We start from the raw sequence: 21,868 nt of genomic DNA, 5'->3' as shown, positions 1-21,868 counted from the left end.
TTCTATGCAATCATCATATGCAAAACTGGGCATTCATCATCACTGCACGGAATCCAAACGCGATTCTCGGGGGTGCCCACGCTCGGCCTCCCACCCGGGTCCGACTCCTTGGAAGGGGCCTGGCCTAGCGCGCACCTGCACACGTGCGCCGGGAGGCGGGAGGTCGTCCCGCGGCCCAGCTGGTTTGTTTTCAACAATACGGTCAAAGCCACACGCCCACCGTTATTTACGCCGCCAGCCAGCGCCGGCACTTCGGAGGGAGGAAGGAAGCACCTAAGGCGCTGGGGGCGGAAACGCTGAGGAGGAGGGGTGCGCCTCAGGCGAGAGCTGGCCGGCGCCGACCCGGCCTGGGGCAGCGGCCGCAGCTCCCCGCCCGGGACCGCGCAAAAAGGCCCAAGGTCCCGGGCCGCACTCACCGAAGTCCAGGAACTGCTTCATGGAGAGCGGGGACGGCGAGAAGCGCGCGTAGAAGTCCACCTGGCCCGGAACGCCGCGCTCGGACGCCGGGCTGGAGCCCGAGTCCGAGCTGAAGCTGCGGCTGAAGCCGGCGGCGCGCAGCCCCGGGCCCGGGCCGGCCAAGGCGGCTCCGCGAAGCAGCCGCGCCAGCCTCATGCCGAGTCCCGCTAGAGAAGCCACAGCCAGTACGCCAGGTTTCCCCGCGCCTCTGCCGAGTGGTACGTGAGGGACGTGGCGGGCAGCAGGGGCGGGGATCGGCTGTCACCGGCGCGGCCCCCACCCTCCTAGCCGGAGCCCGGCCCCCTGCGCCGCTGGGCGGGACGCGGAGCGGGAAGGAGGCGGGGAGAGAAAAGGGGCGGGCGCTTGCGGGGCCCGCCCCCTCGCCGGAGTCCCGCCCAGCCTCCCGAGGAAGGAGATGCGGAGCGCGCGCCAGGCCGCAGCCGCCGCCCAGATCCCGCCCCAGCCGGCGAGGTGTGGGGTGAGCGTGTCGGCCGTCCCCGTACACGTCGGGTGATGGGACTGGGGACACTAAGAGGCGAGGCGGTATGGAGCGTCCCCTTCCCGCACCCTTTTGAAACAAATCCCACCTTCCTGCTTCCTCTGCCCTCCCAATCTCAGCCAAAAGGCTCAAGGACAGGGCGGCGTTCCGCTTGCACACACCGCGGTGTCGTGCTGCGAGCGCGTTCCAGAAACGCTCCTCTGTGACGCAAGCCACGCATTTTCCAGGGTCAGAGAGCTTCAGGAGTCCCCGCTTGCCAAACAGTAGTACGTAAATACGAAAGCTGAACACTGGGACGTGTGGCCCTAAATAGTATCACCGCGACGGCGGCCCCGGGAGAAGAGATGTACTGCCATGTACTGGCTCTGTGCCTTTGAGTGAGCTGTTTAACCTCTCTGAGCCTCCGTCTCTTTACCTGAAAAAGGAGCATATTATCTGTTTCAGTTGCTGTGACATGGGTAGTAGAGCTATCTGTGTTAGCACAATGCCGGGGACATACCAGATAATAAATGGGATTTATTTTTACCATTATTGCTTTTTAAAATTATTTCATTATTAAGATTTTATCAGAACCACCAATCTGCGTTTTCCCTGAAGCACATTTTACCAAAAGTTTGAGAGAAAACGGTTTTTGGCGGTTTTATAACTATTTGATGTATTCGAGTATCAGCAGTTCTCCCACACTGACTGTTGGTTTTAGAAAGTGTAACGGGTACATAGTTTTGTGAACTCCGAAAGTTTGAGACAAGTCTCAGTTAATGTATAAAGTTTATCTTGACAAGGTTGAGGACGCGTGCCCGTGACACAGCCTCAGGAAGTCCTGAGAACACGTGCCCAAGGGGTGAACAGCTTGGTTTTATACAGGGAGACAGGAGACCTCAATCTATATGCAAGAAGTACATTGGTTCCTGCCGGAAAGGTGGGACAACTTGAAGCAGGGAGGAAGGCTTCCAGGTTATAAGTAGGTGAGAGACAAATGGTTGCAGTCTTTGGAGTTTCTGATAAGCCTTTCCCAAGGAAGCAATCAGATATGCATCTGTCTCAGCAGAGGGATGACTTTGAATAGAATGGGAGGCAGGTTTGCCTTGAGCAGTTCCCAGCTTGAATTTTCCCTTTAGCTCAGTGATTTTGTGGCCCGTGATATTTTCCTTTCACATATCAGTGAATCTTCATTCGCATTATGTTTTTCTGGACAACCACATGTGGATACCGTATGGGACATTATTCTTTTGGCCAGACAGCTTTGTCAAACCTGGTATCAGTATGCGCATCTGGAGTGCCCATCTCTTTCTTGGCAAATTTCCAGATATCTTTGCTGAGTGCCCGAGGGGCACACTTCCTGAAGTCCGTTTCAATGGGATGTGCTTGGGAATGTTGATGGTGTCACCACCTCATTGATGGCTGAATGGCCCCCTTCTTCTTCCCACCCTTCTTCTGCGGGACCTAAGTTGGAAAGAAGAAAACAATTTTAAGTTGAATATTACACATTCTTAAAATAGTCCCTCAAACATTTCCACAGCTCTACCCCAGCCTCTCAGGTTGCCTCCTCCTTTCTAATCTCCTTCCTTCTAGATTATTCCCTGAGCTCCAAAGTCTTGTCACTTTATCATGCACAGCATTATTCAGCTCCCTCAATCCCTGTTTGCAATTTTGCTGCTTTCTGCCTGAGCATGTCAAGATGCTCAGCTGAACATTAATTTGCGTGAAAGTACAAAGGCCCAGCAGAAACCTTGAGACTATTTTAGCAAGATTTTTTTCCCTCAGGAAGGAATCAACTGTTGTATAAAGTGCTTTTTCCTTTCTCCAAAGTATATTCACCATGCTTCAACCAATATACAGAGAATGTGCATATAAAAGTACATATTAAATGGTGTCAACTTTTGCTTCTTAGTCAAAGACTTAGAGTCCAGAAACTGGAGAGAACCTTTGAGGACTTTAGTAAACAGCTGTATTACTTCTCTGTTGTTATGGTCTGAATGTGTCCCCTAAAATTTCTATGTTGAAACTTAATTATCAATGTGATAGTATTAAGAGGTGGAGCCTTTAGGAGAGAATTAAGTCATGAGGGCAGAGCCTTATAAAAGGGCGTGAGGGGGTGAGTCAGTTCCTACCATCTCTTCTACCATGTGAGTGAAACTGCCTTTGAAAAATTATAACAGTGAGAAAATTTTGACAGTGAAAGAGATCTGACCTAACCAACTCCATCTTGCTTCTCACTTCCAAGCTGCCCTTGTTTATTCCTGGGCATAGGCCAAACTAACTTTGGGAGGAATTTAGATTACAAACTTTGAAACAAAGATGATAAGAGCTCTTCCATGAAACAAATCCCCAGCTTTCCTGGGGACCAGACCACCTTTGTTAAACTAACAGATTAGGCAGGGCACAATGGCTCATGCCTGTAATCCCAGCACTTTGGGAGGCCAAAATGGGAGGATTGTGTAAGTCCAGGAGTTCGAGACCAGCCTGGGCAACATAGACCTTGTCTCTACAAAAAATGAACAAAATTAGCTGGGCATGGTGGCACTTGCCTGTAGTGCTTCGTGGGGAGCATCACTTGAGCCCAGGAGGTGTAGTTTGCAGTGAGCCAAGATCCTGCCACTGCATTTCTGCCTGTGTGACAGAGCGAGACCTTGTCTCAAAAAATAAGTAAACTAACAAATTAACTAGAAGATTAGAAATTATAGCTCAGGAGTCATGCAGCCAGAGTCCACAAGATCACCAACCTCCACAATTGCTCCTATAGATAACATTGCTATTATAAAACCTAACATTGGTGTTTGAGTTATTTTTCAAATCCTGAATTCCAGTGGACCAGCTGGAACCACACAGATAAGTAAAATGACTCATCTGGTCTTGTGGCCCCCTCCAGAAACTGACTCAGCATAAGATGACAGCTTCGACTCCCTATAATTTTATTCCTGACCCAACCAATCAGCATTCCCCATTCTATAGCCTGCTGTCTGCCAAACTATAAAAAAACCCTAGCCTCTGAATTTTCAGGAGGTTAATTTGAGTAGTAATAAAACTCATCTTCTGTTTAGCCAGCTCCACATGCACTAAACTCTTTGTCTTGATAAATTGGCTCTATCTGGTCAGCAGGCAAGAAAAACCTATTGGATGGTTACATGAGGACACAGCAAGAAAGCCCTTATGAGACACTGAGTTCCGGCATCTTGATCTTGAACTTCACAGCCTCTAGAACTGTAAGAAAACTAATTTCTGTCATTTATAAATTATCCAGACTGTATTTTGTTACAGCACCACTAACAGACTAAGACACACATGTAGATATAAAGTGTAATCATACTGTAAGCTTCTATAAAAAAATTTTTACATAGCAGACATGAGCCAGCCCCTGTAAATTCACTGAGAATTTGTGATCCATGTTGGACTGATGTGACTGAAAGGAATGGAAAAAGCAATACAAAACAAGCTAGACTGTGTCACCTTGTCCCCAGTACCCTCTGGCTTCATGAGGTTCAGAAGACAAAAGGAAAGAAAAGTCATATTTTTTCCCCCTGCTTCTTTTCTTCCAAGCTATAATTTGTGTTCCTCTAAGTGTGGCCATAGCTTCCTACCCTTGTCCAGTATCCATAGAGATAGTACTAATTTTTCTCTGTTGCTGATTGGGTGCTCACCAGCCCTGGAGGTTTAATTCTGCCCACACTCCTGTAAATAGTCCCTTCATTAATTAATTAATCAATTTCCCTTTTGAGTGTGCTATCATTTCCTGCCCTAGAACCCTTTTTGATATGCTGGAAAGATAATTTTCAAAAAAGGTAAAATAATGACTCTCATGCAGCTATAAAATGAACATGTGTCAAAAATTTTATTTAATACATTAATTAAATGAGGGAACCAGTAAAGATATTATAGCCAGTTCAAAGGAGAAGTGAAAAAACAGGAATTCAGAAAAATTTGCAAAGGCTGTAAAACTGGCTCTTTCCTTGGGAATCAGGGAGGGTTGCCCTTCTACCTGACAGAATTTATTTGCACATGTATAGGTAAGAATTATGTGCGTTGTTACCATTTATCTGCAATTTACAGAGTTGTAAAATAGCTCAAAGACAGTGAATTGGAATCAGATACCCTGAAAAGTTGTGCTCTAAACAATACGTAATATTCCACTGAAGCATAATTTTTCTCCATATACATTTGCCTTCTTTCTTTAAAGGGTACTTTGATTCAGGTAATTACTTGTGTAGTGATATGAGGGCATCCTATTCACCAGGATTTATTTAGCACAAACATAGTTTTTATCTGGAGTAAGTGCTTTGAAATGCTGATGGAGTGGAAGGAGAGATCTGTAGGGAAGGCTCAGAACAGCTTTACAGGAAGCAAGGAGAGGAATTCACTTTGTAGAGCAAAGGGGAAGGGGAGGAGGCAGAAGATTGCAAAGACTGTTCACAATGTGAGCACTCCTTATAACCCAAACCTTCAGTAAAGTTTGCAAAAAAAGAGAGATTATTGGATACTGAAGCTTTTATGTGTTGTGCTTTTGTGAAAATTGGAGGAAAGGATGAATTTTTTTTATGAGAGTTTGTGGCAATGGAGATAGACTTTGCACACAAAGAGTCTGAGTGGTGGTGGGGTGGGGGGTACTATAAATGAGACTATGAGCCTCAAGAATTTACAGACATGGACAGGGAGAACTCTAGACTTTCACAAACTGAGACTGGTAATGTTAAAAGATAAATTTGGGCACATTAAAAGTTTTAAAAATTTATTTGAACTGTTGATTTAAAAAAAAGACTCAAACTCTGTAAAATATTTTAAGAGATTTATTCCGAGCCAAATGTGAGTGACCAAGGCCTGAGGCACAGTCCCAAGAGGTCCTGAAAACATGTGCCCAAGGTGGTCGGGTCATAGCTTGATTGTGTACAGTTTTAGGGGAACAGAAGTTGCAGGCAGACATCACTCAGTACATGTAAAGCGTACACTGCTTTGGTCTGAAAAGGCAGGACAACTTTAAGACGTAATATAGGGGGATTGGGAAACTTGTGGCAGGAGGGGGCTTCCAGGTTATAGGGAGAGTCAAAGATTTTCTGACTGGCAATTGGTTGAAAGAGTTAAGTTACTATCTCAAGACCTAGGATCAATTGAAAGGAGTGTCTGGATTAAGACAAGGGGTTGTGGAGACCAAGATTCTTATTACACAGATAAAGGTCCCACATAGCAGGCTTCAGAGAGAACAGATAGTAAATGTCTCTTATCAGACCTAAAAAGGTGTCAGACCTTAAAAGGAAAAACCTGGAAAGGGAAGGGGATCCTCTACAGAATATAGATTTTCCCCAGAAGAAATAGCTTTGCAGGGCTAGTTCAAAATATGTCAAAAAAATATGTTTTGTAGTAAAACACTTCAGTTTATTTCAGGACCTGCTATCTGTCATGTGTTGCTACTGAGGAGTAAATTCTGATTTTTTTATCTTGCCCAAATTCCTATCTAAGAGTTCTGGGGAGTCATGCCCTACAAACCATAAATTCTCATCAGATGGGTTTTATTTAACCCTATATATCGAGACTTACTTTTCACCCTGACTCTGGAATAACATTACATGACAAGGAAGAAAAGCAAAATATTTTATCCCAAAACATGTTTTTTTGCCATATCTTGAAATGGCCCTGCAAATCTGTCTTTTGTGGGGGAAAATTTGCATCAGTAAAGAATCTCTATTAACATAGCTAGATCTTTTACTTCCAGGCCCTCCCAATCCTAAAAAGATTAACTTAAAGTCTAGCACCTTTTAAAGATCTGAATAGGAAACGTTTGTCATCTGTTGTCTCTGAGGGCAGCCACAATAAAACTTCAAAAGAACCTTGGTCTCCACAATCCTTTATCTTAACCTGAACATTTCCTTTCTGTGATCTCAGGTCTTTAGATAAACTCAACCAATTGTAAATCAGAAAATGTTTAAATTTACCTATAGCCTGGAAGCCCCAACTTTGAATTGTCCTACCTTTCAGGACTAAACCAATGTATTTCTTAAATGTATTTGATTGATGTCTCATGCCTCCCTAAAATGTATAAAACCAAACTGTGCCCCAATCACCTTGGGCACATGTTCTGAGGACCTCCTGAGAGCTGTGTCACGGGGCCATGGTCACTCATATTTGGCTCGGAATAAATCTCTTCAAATATTTTACAGAGTTTGGGAGTCCTCGGCCTCCCAAAGTTCTGGGATTACAGACGTGAGCCACTGTGCCCAACCTTGTAACTGTTTCTTATCAGACTTTAAAAAGGTGCCAGAGTTAGTTAATTCCCTTCTGAATCAGGGAAAGTACTTGGAAAGGGAAGAGGATTCTCTGTAGAATGTAGATTTTCCCCACAAGAGACAGCTTTGCAGGGCCATTTCAAAATATGTCAAGAAATATATTTTGGGATAAAATCTTTAGTTTCTTGCAGAACCTGCTCCTTGTCATGTTGGTATCTTAGGCTACAAACAGTCTGTTTTGTCAGATGTAAAATCTCTATGTTAATGTTAATGCTGGTCAGCTGTACCTAAATTCCAGAAGGGAGGACAGAATAATGAGACATGTCTGACCCCGCCTTCCCATCATGGCCTGAACTAGTTTCTCAGGTTAACTTTGGAATGCTCTTGGCCAAAAGGAGGGGTCCATTCAGTTGGTTGGAGGGTTTAGAATATATATATTTTTTGAGACAGAGTCTCACTCTGTTGCCCAGGCTGACGTGTAGTGGCATGATCTCAGCTCACTGCAACCTCCGCCTCTTGGGTTGAAGTGATTCTCCAACCTCAGCCTCCCGAGTAGCTGTGATTACAAGTATGTGCCACCACACCTGGCTAATTTTTGTAATTTTAGTAGAGATGGGGTTTCACCCTGTTGGTCAGGCTGGTCTTGAACTACTGACCTCAGATGATTTGCCCACCTCGCCTCCCAAAGTGGTGGGATTACAGGCCTGAGCCACTGCCCCAGCCGAATTTTATTTTTGGTTTACAAGGGAGAAGCTCATTGGGTAAACCAACTAAGGAGGGGCAGAATAACCAAATACTTATTTTATTTTGTTAATCCTTTCAGAGGTGCAATGGTTTTCACTCACATCTGTGTGAAGAGACCACCAAACAGGCTTTGTGTGAGCAATAAAGCTTTTAATCACCTGGGTGCAGGCGGGCTAAGTCCGAAAGGAGAGTCAGCAAAGGGATATAAGGATGGGGCCATTTTATAAGATTTGGGTAGGTAAAGTAAAATTATAGTCAAAGGGGGGTTGTTCTCTGATTGGCAGGAGTGGGGTTCACAGGGTACTCATTGGGGGAGCTTTTGAGCCAGGATGAGCCAGGAGAAGGAATTTCACAAGACAATGTCATCAGTTAAGGCAGGAACAGGCCATTTTCACTTCTTTTGTGGTGGAATGTCATCAGTTAAGGCAGGAACCGGCCATCTGGATGTGTACTTGCAGGTCACAGGGGATATGATGGCTTAGCTTGGGCTCAGAGGCCTGACATTTGTGTTGACAGATTTTTACTTTGTATTTGCCAGGCCTCTTTCAGACTCAAGCACAAAAAACTCAGTTCAAATGTCTTTAAATAACTGGACACTATTTTGTCTGATGTTGATGCAGGATTTTTCTTGGTCACTTTGCCAGCTGGAGACCTCTGGCTGGTGATGCCCCCTCCAGGCTTTGGTGGGGCACACTACCTGCCCCTAGGAGGTGGCCTGCCCTTCGACCCACCCAGGCTGGGCCCCAGCCCCCCTGTGTTATAGCTCGTACCCACATACAGCGGTCCCTAAGTTCTTGTCCTGTGTCCAAGAAGAATGCGCGTACTCTGACAATTGAAGGGTGAGGAGGGCGGAAAAGAATTGTATTGAGCAAGAGAAGAGCTCTCAATAGAGGCAGGACATGGGGGTGGTCCCCCACTTGAAGTTGGGCGGTTTCTTTCCCAGTGTGGCTGAGTCCAGGGCTTTTATGGGCTCAGAATAGGGGAGTACGTGCTGGTTTGTGAATATGCAAAAAAGATTAAAACACAGGCATGAATCAAAGGTGGGCATGACTGTAAAAAACCCATTAGGGAAGGGGTAGGTGTATGTAAAGTAGGTGAAGGGTAGGGGTAAATCAGAGGAAAGCATGCCAAACTGGAAGACAGGTTCTTAATCTGGTTCATGGATTTGACTTATAACTTGGTTCTTAGGCTTTAAATTGTCTTTGGCTTGGAGGTGGGGTTTCACCAGTTACCTGTCCCTGTCTGCCTAGGCATTTTTCTGCCTCCTGCTGCTATCCATTCCCCTCTCTGAGGAGGTACATCTAACTGCCATTAGAATAGAAATGAAGACTGAACTTAACTGCTTCCTGCTGACAGGGGCCGCTGTTTTGGGAAGATGGCAGTCAGATCTCCCTCAGAGGCCTATTTAAGGGTCCCCGGTAAAAGGGAGCCATTGTCTGAAGCTGCGGTTGCATTACAGTTTGGAGTTTGATAACCTGAAGTCAAGAAGAGACATATTAGAAGACATATGTCAGGCCAGGCACAGTGGCTCATGCCTGTAATCCAAACACTTTGGGAGCCTGAGACAGGCGGATCATAAGGTCAGGCGTTTGAGACCAGCCTGGCCAACATGGTGAAACCCCGTCTTGGCCAGGCGCGGTGGCTCACGCCTGTAATCCCAGCACTTTGGGAGGCCGAGGCAGGCAGATCACGAGGTCAGGAGATCGAGACCATCCTGGCTGACATGGTGAAACCCTGTCTCTACTAAAAATACAAAAAATCAGCCAGGCGTGGTTGTGGGTGCCTGTAGTCCCAGCTACTCGGGAGGCTGAGGCAGGAGAATGGCGTGAACCTGGGAGGCAGAGCTTGCAGTGAGCCAAAATCACGCCACTGCACTCCAGCCTGGGCGACAGAGCAAGACTCCATCTCAAAAACAAACAAAAAAAGAAACCCCATCTCTACTAAAAATACAAAAAATTAGCTGGGCGTGGTGGCATGTGCCTGTAATCCCAGCTACTTAGGAGGCTGAGGCAGGAGAATTGCTTGAACCCAGGGGGCGGAGGTTGCAGTGAGATGAAATTGCGCCATCGTACTCCAGCCTGGGTGACAGAGCAAGCAAGACTCCATCTTGAAAAAAAGAAAAAAAGAGGACATGTATCAAAACAAAACAAAAGAGGGGGGATAAGGGCAGCTCCAAAATCCTGAGGCTGCTGACACGCCCAGATAACTGGGGGCTATGGTTATGCCTGCTAAGATTTGAGTGCATGGGCTTAGCTTTGGTTAGCTCCTTTGGTCTTATTTTCCCAAAAACGAAACTGCTGGGTTATAGACACCCTATTTACTCCTGTCACCTGGCAGGACTTGCAGAATGATTGCCCAGAACTTAAAAATTGTTTCAGATTTTTACATTACCCATCCCTTTTTTCTCTTCTGAACTGCAGCCAGAGATCACTGGTTAGTTCACAGGAATAAGCAGGGTTAGTCTAAAATGCAGACAAAAACTTAAAAACTACTAATAATGAGACTAGAATAGAATGACAAGTGTATAAGTTTTGAAACATAATTGCTCTCTCTCCAGTCCTCATTTTTGTTAAAACAAATCATGATAGGACTGAATTGTTTGCAAAACTGAGTTTAGTTTCATACTTGGCCTGATTATTTGCATAAAGTGCAGCAAGAATAATTATTTTCACATAGGCTTTTAAAAATTGGCTCTGATGAAACCCTGTTCTCTAAGGAAGCTCAGTTGACACTTTTTAAAGCCCAGCCCAGCCATGGGTTTGTACTCTTAAATACCTATGAATTGGGTACATTTCTCTCTTCTTGAGGGCCCAAGATGACTTGGGGCTCCTAGCCCTGTTAGAAAGTGACATTTCTAACTCACCAAACCTGTATGGAGATTGTGTAGACAAGGCATGAGGCAAGCTTTCCTGAGGGAAAACTTGCAAGCTTTATTGCCTCTGCAAGTCAAGCTTGATTCCCTAGAGGGAACCACACCCTTTTAGTAAAAGCCTTGGTAAAAGAACCAGTTTCTCCAATTGCATCTTGTTGCAAAAGAAAATGGATTCTTATTGCGCTTATGCAGAACATTATATTGCTATAAGTTAAGAATATTTGCATCTAGCTTCCAAATTTTGGAGAAACCAGGCAGAGAGAAACAAATATGCTCCAAATTTTGTTTGCAGGAGTATACCTTACTCAATTGTTAAAAGTTGTAAATAGCTGAAAATAAAAGTTTTCCTGGCTTTGAAAAACAAAAGGTTCAGCAACATTTTAAGCAAAAAATTAAAAAGGATTACTTCAGTTTTCTATTAGTTCAGTCCATTTTGTTAACTCTTATTCTGCAATTCAGCTCTTCATGAATCCTATATTGTTTTCCTCTATTCCAATGTCACAATCTCCCAAGTTATCAGAAACCTTTATTTAAGAGCACGTGTCAAAGTCCTATAGCTGATTATAAACCATCTTTTGAAAAGGATCAAAACAAGACAACAGTTGTCTCTGAATAACAAAATGTCCAGGGTAGTTACAGTCAAAAACAGGATTAACAAAGAAATTTGGTTATTATTGTGGTTTATAATAACTTAACATAGTAACTCTAATTATGATTGATAGCATATACTCAAACATTAGAATTTTAGAAATCCAATACAATTTTGGAACATATTTTAATATGATATACTAAAATATAACCTGAAGAAGTTAAACATAATTTTTATTTTGACAATGCTGTGTAACTAAACATGTCAGATAATCCTGTTTATTTCTCTTTTGGGTGCTTCAGGGGCCCTCTGTAGCAGCTAAAAGTTGGGAGTCAGGAAAGAGAATTTTGAAGTTGAAGTTTGATTTTGGGAAGCCTATCAAATATGTTAAAGATTTAGAACACTTGATATTATGAAATAGAATTCCAGGTTATCATAAATCATTTATTTACCTAAAATGATGGCTCAAAATTTTAATGTTATATATCTTTATTTCTTTAATCATACGATCCATTCTTTTTTTATTATTATACTTTAAGTTCTGGGGTACATAGGCACAACATGCAGGTTTGTTACATACGTGTACATGTCCCATGTTGGTTTGCTGCACCCATCAATTCGTCATTTGCATTAGGTATTTCTCCTAATGCTATCCCTCCCCAAGCCCTCCACCCCTCAACAGGCCTCAGTGTGTGATGTTCCCCTCCCTGTGTCCATGTATTCTCATTGTTCAAATCCCACTTATGAGTGAGAACATGCGGTGTTTGGTTTTCTCTTCTTGTGTTACTTTGCTGAGAATGATGGTTTCCAGTTTCATCCATGTCCCTGCAAAGGACATGAACTCATCCTTTATTATGGCTGCATAGTATTCCATGATGTATATGTGCCACATTTTCTTTACCTAGTCTATAATTGATGGGCATTTGGGTTGGTTCCAAGTCCTTGCCATTGTGAATAGTGCTGGGCCCAAGCTGAGCTGCTGTCAGTATCCAAAGGGTCCAGTCTGGTGATCTGAAGAACAACAACAGGAGACTCTGGACAGCAGAAAAGGTCCATCCCTGATCTAGGTTCTGAGGGCCTGCCATGAGCCTTTCCATCTTAGTTCAAATTTCTCCTTTCACTGTGAGAGTTACCTGAAACTCGGCGTCTGTGATGGTCTAGGGGGCTTCCAAGGTGATCGGGCAGTGTCAGTCTTCAGCCACTAAGCCGAGAAGATCTGGGAAGGAGTCAGTCAGAGAGCCAGGGGCTCTGCGAGTGGCTGCCAGGTGAGTTGAACTGTCCGATTTTCAGTGGGGTCCTGCACAGATTGGACGCAGCTTAGGAGGAATTCTGGGCTGTGGGCATTCCTTGGCCTGGTGGCCAGATTTCTGGCACTTGTAGCAAGCTTCTGGGGGAGGCGGGCCTGAAGGAATGCCTGGCCACTGTGGTTTAGGCATTTGGAAGTTTTTGTGTGTGGAGATGTGGCTGGGGTTTGTCTCACAGTGGAGGCAAGGAATTGCAACTCAGAAATATGTTGCTACTTGGCTGCCTCTACTCTATTATTGTACACCTTGAAGGCGAGGTTAATTAAGTCCTGTTGTGGGGTTTGAGGGCTGGAATTTAATTTTTGGAGTTTTATTTAATGTCGGGAGCAGATTGGATAATAAAATGTATATTGAGAATAAGACGTCCTTTTGACCTTTTAGGGTCTAGGGCTGTAAAGCGTCTCAGGGTTGCTGCTAAATGAGCCATGAACTGGGCTGGGTTCTTATATCTGTTGAAAAAGAGCCTAAATGCTCTCTAATTTGGGATAAAGAAAAAGGAGCATTAACCTTGATTGTGCCTTTAGCTCCAGCCACCTTTTTAAGAGGAAATTGCTGGGCAGGTGGGGGAGGGCTAGTCTCAGAACGAAACTGTGAGCCGGACCTGGTGTGAGGAGGGGAGGTGATAAAAAGGATAATAGGGTGGAGGAGCAGAGGCTGAGGAAGAATTGGGACCTAGCTCAGCCTGGCGAGGAGGGGAGAGGTCAGATGGGTCTGTAGAAAAGGAATATTAGAAAGACTCAGCGATGCTTGGGGTTGGGACTAAGGGGACAGGCGGGAGAGAAAGAAGGAAGATTTGGGACAAGTTGCATTGGGAACAGAAACTAGGGAGGGACCGACGTGTAAAAGAATGCCTGGACGTCAGGCACCTCAGACCGTTTGCCTATTTTACGGCAAGAATTATTTAGATCTCATAGGATGGAAAAATTGAAAGTGCTATTTTCTCGCTATTTGGAACCACTGTTGAGTTTGTATTGGGTCAAGTGGCATTGCAGAAGGAAATAAGGCATTTAGGTTTTAGGTCAGGTGTTTGTTGAAGAGGTTTTAGGTTTTTAAGAACACAGGCTAAGGGAGAAGAAGGGGGAATGGAGGGTGGAAGCTTGCCCATAGTGAAGGAGGCAAGCCCAGAGAAAAGAGAGAGTAGAGACACGGAGAGAAGGGGTGGGGGGTTCTTGACCCCCAGAAAAGCAGAGAAGGGGTAAAGACAGAGAGAAGGGGTCGGGGGGTTCCTGCCCCCTAGAAAAGCAGTACTTGCCACTAAGAGTGAAGGAGAAGGGGTTGAGGGGTTCTTGCCCCCTAGAAAAGTGGTACTTGCTGCTAAGGGTGAAGGAGAAGGGGTTGGGGGGTTCTTGCCCGCCAGAAAAGTGGAGAAGGGGTAGAGACACGGAGAGAAGGGGTTGGGGGGTTCTTGCCCCCCAGAAAAGCGGTACTTGCTGCTAAGGGTGACGGACCAAGGCAGGCGTCCCTGCATGGTCAGACACCTCTGAAACTTAGGTGAATAATCAGGCAGGCGTCTCCGCGTGATTAAACACCAAGAGAAGACTGTCTTCCCCAGTCCTTGACTGGCGCCGGAGTTTTGGGTCCACGGATAAAACGTGTCTCCTTCATCTCTACCAGAAAAGGAAAGGAACTGAAATTAAGAGAAGGGAGAGACTGAAGTGTGACGCCAAGATTTAAAGGAGAAAGAGGTTGAGGGATAGTGAGAGAGGTTGTAGAAGAGAGTAAAAAGAGGCCACTTACTGGATTTAAAATTGGTGAGATGTTCCTTGGGCTAGTTGGTCTGGGGACCAGAGGTCGTAGGTGGATCTTTCTCACAGAACAAAGAGCAGGAGGACAGGGGATTGATCTCCCAAGGGAGGTCCCCCGATCTGAGTCATGGCACCAAATTTCACTCACGTCCATGTGAAGAGACCACCAAACAGGCTTTGTGTGAGCAATAAAGCTTTTTAATCACCTGGGTGCAGGCGAGCTGAGTCCAAAAAGAGAGTCAGCCCAAAAATTTTTTTAAAAAGCAAAAACCTTTACTCATTTAGAGGGAAGACTTAGGTTTCCAAACAGTCTGTCTCTTGTATCTCCCTTCCTTTTTTTTTCAGTAGCTTATTTGCAAGACAAACAAAAGTCTTTCATTATCCTTTAATTATATTACGTGAAAATCTTGTTTAAGAGAGAGAAAGCCAAATTCCACCCTTACATTAGTCTTCTATTAATGTCAGCCTTAATTTTTAAAAAACGAAACCTTATAGGCTGGGGGTGGTGCCTCACACCTGTAATCTCAGCACTTTGGGAGACAAAGGCAGGGGATCATTTGAGACCAGGAGTTCGAGAACAGCCTGGCCAACATGGACAGACCTTGTCTCTATTAAAAATGCAAAAATTAACTGGGCCTGGTGGTACCCACCTGTAATCCGAGCTACTCAGGAATCTGAGACAGGAGAATCACTTGAACCCAGTAGGCGGAGGTTGCAGTGAGATTGTACCACAACACTCCAGCCTGGGTAGTGACAGAGTGAGACTCTGCCTCAAAAACAACAACAAAAAACCTTATAGGTAATTCTATCAAATCTTAACCTGTTCATCTGTCAGGTGAGATTCTTATAAACCATTTTTTTTTTTTTTTTTTTGAGACAGAGTCTCGATCTGTTGCCCAGGCTGGAGTGCGGTGGCACGATCTCAGCTCACTACAACCTCCGCCTCCCTGGTTCAAGCAGTTCTTCTACCTCAGCCTCTTGAGTAGCTGGGATTACAGGCACCCACCACCATACTTGGCTAATTTTTGTATTTTTAGTAGAGATGGGGTTTCGCTGTGTTGGCCAGGCTGGTCTCGAACTCCTGACATGGGGTTGGGCGATCCGACCACCTCAGCCTCCCAAAGTGCTGGGATTACAGGCATGAGCCACTGCGCCCATCCTCTTATAAGCCTTTTATAACTCTTTACACATTTTTGTTAAAGAGCAGATCAGTGCCTTTAGAAAACCTTGTTTTCCTTTTATTCCCATGTTCTATTTGTGGAAAAACCAAATAATACTCTTGAATTTAGTCAATACATTTACACACAAGATTTCTTTTACAAAGTTAATTTTTACAGACCTTCCACAACTTGTTCAAACCTTTAATTTAAAACAATCCTTTAACCCTCTAGGCAAAAATTTACATTCCCATGCCTTCTTATAATCTTTTACTAAAAACATATTTTACTTTTCTCTTACACCTTCCATGTAAATCTATTTTCGGTAGCCTCCGTTACATGTTATAATGGTAACTCTTAGATATTTTTAGTGTTAATGTAAAACCTGGTTAGTTATTTTAATTATGTACTAGGCACAGGTAAGGTGTCTTTCCAGCATAGTTAGGGGTACAGTTAAATCCATATGTCCCCAGGCCTTAAACTGTAAAGCAGGCAAGTCTTAACAACTTTCAAAAGCCAAAGAAGCAGTTTTTGACCTTAAAGTATTTAGTAATCCAAGTATTTGACCTGCATAATTTAGACCACATATTTACATTTTGAAGACATTTGTCATATAACCTTTAAGACTTTTTTTATTTCTCAAAGATTAAAGTCACATGAACTAAAAGGGATTACAGCTTCTATTTTTTCTTTAAAAATATTTGATCTAAGTGCTTATTTTTACTTAATCCAATTAATTGGAGCTCTTTTTTATATAAACATCACATACATATCACATGCATAACTACACAGACAGAAGAAGATCCACTAGTTATAAGATTTTTTTTTTTTTTTGAGACACAGTCTTGCTGTGTCGCTCAGGCTGGGGAGCAGTGATGTGATCTCAGCTCACTGCAAACTCCACCTCCTGAGTTCAAGTGATTCTCCTGCCTCAGCCTTCTGAGTAGCTGAGATTACAGGCACCCATCACCATGTCTAGCTAATTTTTCTATTTTTAGTAGAGATGGGGTTTCACCGTGTTGGCCACGGTGGTCTCAGACTCCTGGCCTCAGGTGATCCACCCACCTCAGCCTCTGAAAGTTCCAGGATTACAGGTGTCAGCCACCTGGCCCTGACAGATTTTTCACTTGCCAATCTCCTAATTGGGTTACTGGACTCGGGTTGAGCTCTTCAAAAAACCGGTAGGAAAACATGCCGTTTCTAGGGCCTAATAAGTAGGTACAGCTTGAAGACAAAAACAGATTTTGAGAGGGATCTATCTGACTTTAATTATTAGTTAGAGTTCCCTGAGGAAAACATTTTTCCCAAAATGGGTTCTGTGGTGCCTTCTCTGTTTTTCCCAAGGAATCCCAGGCTATCAGAAATTATCTTAGGCTTCTCATGTGTGCATTAAGAGTGAAAAAAAAATTAAGTCAACTGAGAAGACAAAAACCTTTTTCCAACCAAACAAGATCCAAGAAGAGAAAAAAAAGACATAAAGGTGTTTTAAATATACCTATAGCTAGGATATCCAATTTTTTTTTGTTTCAGACAGAGTCTCACTCTGTTGCTCAGGCTGGAATGCAGTGGCACAATCTCAGCTCACTGCAACTTCTACCTCTTGAGTTCAAGAGGTAGCCTCCCAAGTAGCTTACATTACAGGTGCATGCCACCATGCCCAGCTAATTTTTTGTGTTTGTAGTAGAGACAGGATTTTGACATGTTGGCCAGGCTGGTCTTAAACTCCTGAGCTCATGCAATCTACCCGCCTCGGCCTCCCAAAGTGCTAGGATTACAGACGTGAGCCACCACACGCAGCCTCTCCACTTTTAATATAAGCTGACTTTTAACCATGGTGCTCTTTTAAAAAATATTTTCAAATCCCTTATTACTTGAGTTGGTCAAGCCGCCAATATTTCTGGCTTTTGAACTTTACCAAAAGCAACCTCACAGGTGAAACTAACAAACCTCAACTAAGGTTATGACTTAACCACAAGTATTATGAATTATTTTCAAAGAGATGTTAAGCAGTTTTTTAAAAATCTAGAATCTCTAAATGTGGCTCACAGAAAGGAAGATTTATTTATTTATTTATTTTTTATTTTTTATTGATTTATTTATTTATTTTTTTATTTATTTATTTTTTTATTGATCATTCCTGGGTGTTTCTCGCAGAGGGGGATTTGGCAGGGTCATAGGACAATAGTGGAGGGAAGGTCAGCAGATAAACAAGTGAACAAAGGTCTCTGGTTTTCCTAGACAGAGGACCCTGTGGCCTTCCGCAGTGTTTGTGTCCCTGGGTACTTGAGATTAGGGAGTGGTGATGACTCTTAAGGAGCATGCTGCCTTCAAGCATCTGTTTAACAAAGCACATCTTGCACCGCCCTTAATCCATTTAACCCTGAGTGGACACAGCACTTGTTTCAGAGAGCACAGGGTTGGGGATAAGGTCACAGATCAACAGGATCCCAAGGCAGAAGAATTTTTCTTAATACAGAACAAAATGAAAAGTCTCCCTTGTCTACTTCTTTCTACACAGACACGGCAACCATCCGATTTCTCAATCTTTTCCCCACCTTTCCCCCCTTTCTATTCCACAAAACCGCCATTGTCATCCTGGCCCGTTCTCAATGAGCTGTTGGGTACACCTCCCAGATGGGGTGGTGGCCGGGCAGAGGGGCTCCTCGCTTCCCAGTAGGGGCGGCCGGGCAGAGGCGCCCCTCACCTCCCGGACAGGGCAGCTGGCCAGGCGGGGGGCTGACCCCCCCATCTCCCTCCCAGACGGGGCAGCTGGCCGGGCAGAGGGGCTCCTCACTTCCCAGTAGGGGCGGCCAGGCAGAGGCGCCCCTCACCTCCCGGACGGGGCGGCTGGCCGGGCGGGGGGCTTATCCCCCCACCTCCCTCCTGGACGGGGCGGCTGGCCGGGCGGGGGGCTGACCCCCCCACCTCCCTCCCGGACGGGGCGGCTGGCCGGGCAGAGGGGCTCCTCACTTCCCAGTAGGGGCGGCCGGGCAGAGGCGCCCCTCACCTCCCGGACGGGGCGGGTGGCCGGGCGGGTGGCTGACCCCCCCACCTCCCTCCCGGATGGGGCGGCTGGCCGGGCGGGGGGCTGACCCCCACGCCTCCCTCCCGGACGGGGCGGCTGGCCTGGCGGTGGCTGACCCCCACCTCCCTCCCGGACAGGGTGGCTGCCGGGTGGAGACGCTCCTCACTTCCCAGACGGGGTGGCTGCCGGGCGGGGGGGCTCCTCACTTCTCAGACGGGGCGGCTGCCGGGCGGAGGGGCTCCTCACTTCTCAGATGGGGCGGCCGGGCAGAGACGCTCCTCACCTCCCAGACGGGGTCGCGGCCGGGCAGAGGCGCTCCTCACATCCCAGACGGGGCGGCGGGGCAGAGGCACTCCCCACATCTCAGACGATGGGCGCCGGGCAGAGACGCTCCTCACTTCCCAGATGGGATGGCGGCCAGGAAGAGGCGCTCCTCACTTCCCAGATGGGATGGCAGCCGGGCAGAGACGCTCCTCACTTTCCAGACTGGGCAGCCAGGCAGAGGGTCTCCTCACATCCCAGACGATGGGCGGCCAGGCCGAGATGCTCCTCACTTCCCAGATGGGGTGGCAGCCGGGCAGAGGCTGCAATCTCGGCACTTTGGGAGGCCAAGGCAGGCGGCTGGGAGGTGGAGGTTGTAGCAAGCCGAGATCACGCCATTGCACTCCAGCCTGGGCACCATTGAGCACTGAGTGAACGAGACTCCGTCTGCACTCCCGGCACCTCAGGAGGCCGAGGCTGGCGGATCACTCACGGTTAGGAGCTGGAGACCAGCCCGGCCAACACAGCAAAACCCCGTCTCCACCAAAAAAAATATGAAAACCATTCAATCGCAGGCACTCGGCAGGCTGAGGCAGGAGAATCAGGCAGGGAGGTTGCAGTGAGCCGAGATGGCAGCAGTACAGTCCAGCTTCGGCTCGGCATCAGAGGGAGACTGCGGAAAGAGAGGGAGAGGGAGACCGTGGGGAGACGGAGAGGGAGAGGCAGAGGCAGAGGCAGAAAGGAAGATTTAAAAAAGGAAGCTAGAAGTTGTGGATGGATGAGAACAGAATAAGTCAATGTAAAAGTTACACAGATAGGGCCAGGCGCGGTGGCTTACGCCTGTAATCCTAGCACTTTGGGAGGCTGAGGCGGGCGGATCACAAGGTGAGGAGATCGAGACCATCCTGGATAACACAGTGAAACCCCATCTGTACTAAAAATACAAAAAATAAGCCGAGCGTGGTGGTGGACTCCTGTAGTCCCAGCTACTCGGGAGGCTGAGGCAGGAGAATGGTGTGAACCCAGGAGGCGGAGCTTGCAGTGAGCCGAGATCATGCCACTGCACTCCAGCCTGGGTGACAGAGTGAGACTCTGTCTCAAAAAGAAAAAAAAAAAAGTCACACAGATATTAGCCAGAAAGTACTCATTCCCTAAGGCAGGACTGAACATGGGATGCCATTGTAAAATGGCAGAGAGCAAGAGAAAATACTTCCATGTGGTTACAAGGTTAAGCTCCCAGGGATGTAAAACAAGATGGAGACCTCATCCAGTGTTGTTTTGTTTTTGTTTTTGTTTTTCTTCTGAGACCTGTAGCAAAGTTTGTAACTATCCAGTTTTCTGGCCTGCTTGAACAGCAGGCTTATGGGATCCTAAGCCCAGGTTTTATTCTAAGGTATTCCACCTTATGACAGAACTATACAGAAAGACACAATGTATACCAGATTAGCTACAGGTTAAGACTAGCCTCACAAATCTTTTTTTCCATTAATCAAATCTTTACAGATTATATAAACATTGATTTTTTTTTCTTTTTCTTTTTCTTTTTTTGTTTTACCATTCATTCATCCTGTTTTTACAGAGAGAGGGACGCTGGAAGTGTCACTGGTAAGAACTTTTACCCTTCTGCCAGCATGTCAGATTTCTGAGTTCCCTTCCCCTGAGCTATGGAGTCCTATCTGGAGTCCTGTGAAGGGGAAGCAGACAGAGAGGTTATCTACATACTGTAGATGTTGTCCTTCTTCAAGAGATTTTTCGGTTAGAACTGTAATTTCTTCCTGGTTCATTTTTAGGCCAAACAGTTTAAGGTTTCGGGAAATTATACTTATCCCAGTTTGGGGATACATGTGAATGGGAGGTTCCTGTGGTATGGAGACACGATTAACCATCCACAAAGGGAGGACAGACAAGGAAACAGAAAAAAGGCTTTTTTTTTTTTTTTTCAAAGGAGTTCCAATGATTCAGGATGCACTGGAGAGAAGTACAGACTGAAAATGGTTTTTACCCATCTGGAAAGAGGGGAAAAAGGCATCCCTTAATTTCTCTTTCCAGCAAGTACCCAGGGTACATGTGGGAGAGGAAAAAAAGTGCATCCCCTTTTTTCTTCCATCCTTGTAGCCCCACGTTTCACCAACCTTGACAGGTGCTGCCCATGGGTCCCAATATGGCCTTCACCCATGTAGCAGGGAAGCCTAGAGGGTAGGAATATCTGCACTGGCCTGTCCTCTTGCTGTTGGTAACCTTCGAGTCCCCTAGACCTCATTTATGCCTTGGATACACACATAACCTCCTTCCATGAAGCTGGGGGGAGGTGCCTAATTGGCAGGAATTAGTCGTACTTGCCTGTGCTGTGCCCCTAGACTTCTGCTGTTGTCTGATCTAAGACCTAGTTTTCTTTTCTGGGGCTTCAACCTGAAGGTTGGAATTGAGTTTGGGATAACAAAGTGCCCCGGGAGGGTGCATGGACTCATTAAATTGACTCCCATGTGGGCCTTGCAAAACTGCAGTCAGTGACTGGCAGTGGCAGCCTGGGCCATTCCTCCATTGTTTCTCTGCCATTGTTTCTCTGCAGACTGCTAAGGTGAAGCTGTGGAACCACATCCTCCTCTAACAAGGGAGAGAAAGGGAGTCCCAAGATTTGGGGATGTGGCCCAGTAAGGTGCCTCCCAAAAGGAAGAAAGAAAAAAAAACCTCTCGCATAGGAAAGCTCTCTGTATTTGCAGGTCTGTGTTAACTCCTGACATGGTGAAACAACGACAAAAAAAAAAAACAGATTAAGTCAAGGAAAGGGTAGGCACCTGGAGGAAAAAGCCTCTTGCTCTTATGCAAATGAGTTCCTTCAATGGGGAAAAAAAACTCTTAATCACTGCCTCCTCGCTGCCTCCAAGAATAGATGGAAACCACATTGTTCTGAATTACATTTTTATGACTGGGCCATGTACCCATCCTACCCAGTAATATCTCTGTAGTTTGCAACAGCACCCTTAATGTTATAAAAGAAGAGATA

General features: G+C 45.7%; 1 protein-coding gene and 1 long non-coding RNA gene across 55 annotated transcripts in view, besides 7 other annotated features; one reads left to right on the top strand and one right to left on the bottom strand.

Annotated features, from left to right (window-relative positions):
• Nucleotides 1-1,390, bottom strand: part of PDK1 (pyruvate dehydrogenase kinase 1) — a 168,940-nt gene extending 167,550 nt beyond the window's left edge. For 29 of the 32 annotated variants that reach the window (XR_007076395.1, XR_007076402.1, XR_007076394.1 and 26 more), the window contains exon 1: nt 417-673. Coding sequence is in view for 6 of the 32 variants with exons in the window: in NM_001278549.2 (NP_001265478.1) it covers nt 417-612 (196 nt within the window). In the remaining 26 variants the exon portion in view is untranslated. Of the gene's footprint in view, nt 1-416; nt 674-1,043 lie in introns of those variants that run through there. The other 3 variants (NR_103731.1, XM_011511343.3, XM_011511345.4) reach the window with 1 other exon arrangement.
• Nucleotides 272-1,001: a silencer, noted in NCBI's record as "silent region_12111". NCBI's record gives its function as "represses an Ori minimal core promoter by ATAC-STARR-seq in GM12878 lymphoblastoid cells {active_cell/tissue: GM12878}" and the evidence as "EXISTENCE:reporter gene assay evidence [ECO:0000049][PMID:35858748]".
• The window catches only part of PDK1-AS1 (PDK1 and ITGA6 antisense RNA 1), a 92,199-nt gene continuing 70,629 nt past the window's right edge, over nt 299-21,868 (top strand). For 22 of the 23 annotated variants that reach the window (NR_199651.1, NR_199654.1, NR_199653.1 and 19 more), the window contains exon 1: nt 299-674. This is a non-coding gene — a long non-coding RNA (PDK1 and ITGA6 antisense RNA 1). The remainder of the gene's footprint in view (nt 675-21,868) is intronic. The other variant, NR_199660.1, reaches the window with a different exon arrangement.
• Nucleotides 1,182-1,331: an enhancer, noted in NCBI's record as "active region_16763". NCBI's record gives its function as "activates an Ori minimal core promoter by ATAC-STARR-seq in GM12878 lymphoblastoid cells {active_cell/tissue: GM12878}" and the evidence as "EXISTENCE:reporter gene assay evidence [ECO:0000049][PMID:35858748]".
• Nucleotides 3,648-3,942: an enhancer, noted in NCBI's record as "tiled region #4236; K562 Activating DNase matched - State 5:Enh". NCBI's record gives its function as "activates a minimal TATA promoter and a strong SV40 promoter by Sharpr-MPRA in K562 cells {active_cell/tissue: K562}" and the evidence as "EXISTENCE:reporter gene assay evidence [ECO:0000049][PMID:27701403]".
• Nucleotides 3,648-3,942: a silencer, noted in NCBI's record as "tiled region #4236; HepG2 Repressive non-DNase unmatched - State 23:Low". NCBI's record gives its function as "weakly represses a minimal TATA promoter and a strong SV40 promoter by Sharpr-MPRA in HepG2 cells {active_cell/tissue: HepG2}" and the evidence as "EXISTENCE:reporter gene assay evidence [ECO:0000049][PMID:27701403]".
• Nucleotides 6,448-7,189: an enhancer, noted in NCBI's record as "NANOG-H3K27ac hESC enhancer chr2:173414302-173415043 (GRCh37/hg19 assembly coordinates)". NCBI's record gives its function as "activates a minimal SCP1, AML or CMV promoter by ChIP-STARR-seq in naive H9 embryonic stem cells {active_cell/tissue: H9 hESC(naive)}" and the evidence as "EXISTENCE:reporter gene assay evidence [ECO:0000049][PMID:30033119]".
• Nucleotides 7,190-7,932: an enhancer, noted in NCBI's record as "NANOG-H3K27ac hESC enhancer chr2:173413559-173414301 (GRCh37/hg19 assembly coordinates)". NCBI's record gives its function as "activates a minimal SCP1, AML or CMV promoter by ChIP-STARR-seq in naive H9 embryonic stem cells {active_cell/tissue: H9 hESC(naive)}" and the evidence as "EXISTENCE:reporter gene assay evidence [ECO:0000049][PMID:30033119]".
• Nucleotides 21,313-21,813: an enhancer, noted in NCBI's record as "H3K27ac hESC enhancer chr2:173399678-173400178 (GRCh37/hg19 assembly coordinates)". NCBI's record gives its function as "activates a minimal SCP1, AML or CMV promoter by ChIP-STARR-seq in primed H9 embryonic stem cells {active_cell/tissue: H9 hESC(primed)}" and the evidence as "EXISTENCE:reporter gene assay evidence [ECO:0000049][PMID:30033119]".

Source organism: Homo sapiens, chromosome 2 (genome assembly GCF_000001405.40).
Source record: "Homo sapiens chromosome 2, GRCh38.p14 Primary Assembly".
In the NCBI taxonomy this organism is placed as follows: Eukaryota; Metazoa; Chordata; class Mammalia; order Primates; family Hominidae; genus Homo; species Homo sapiens.
Note: the sequence above shows the minus strand (reverse complement) of the source record. Positions and strands in the feature narration are given on the sequence as shown.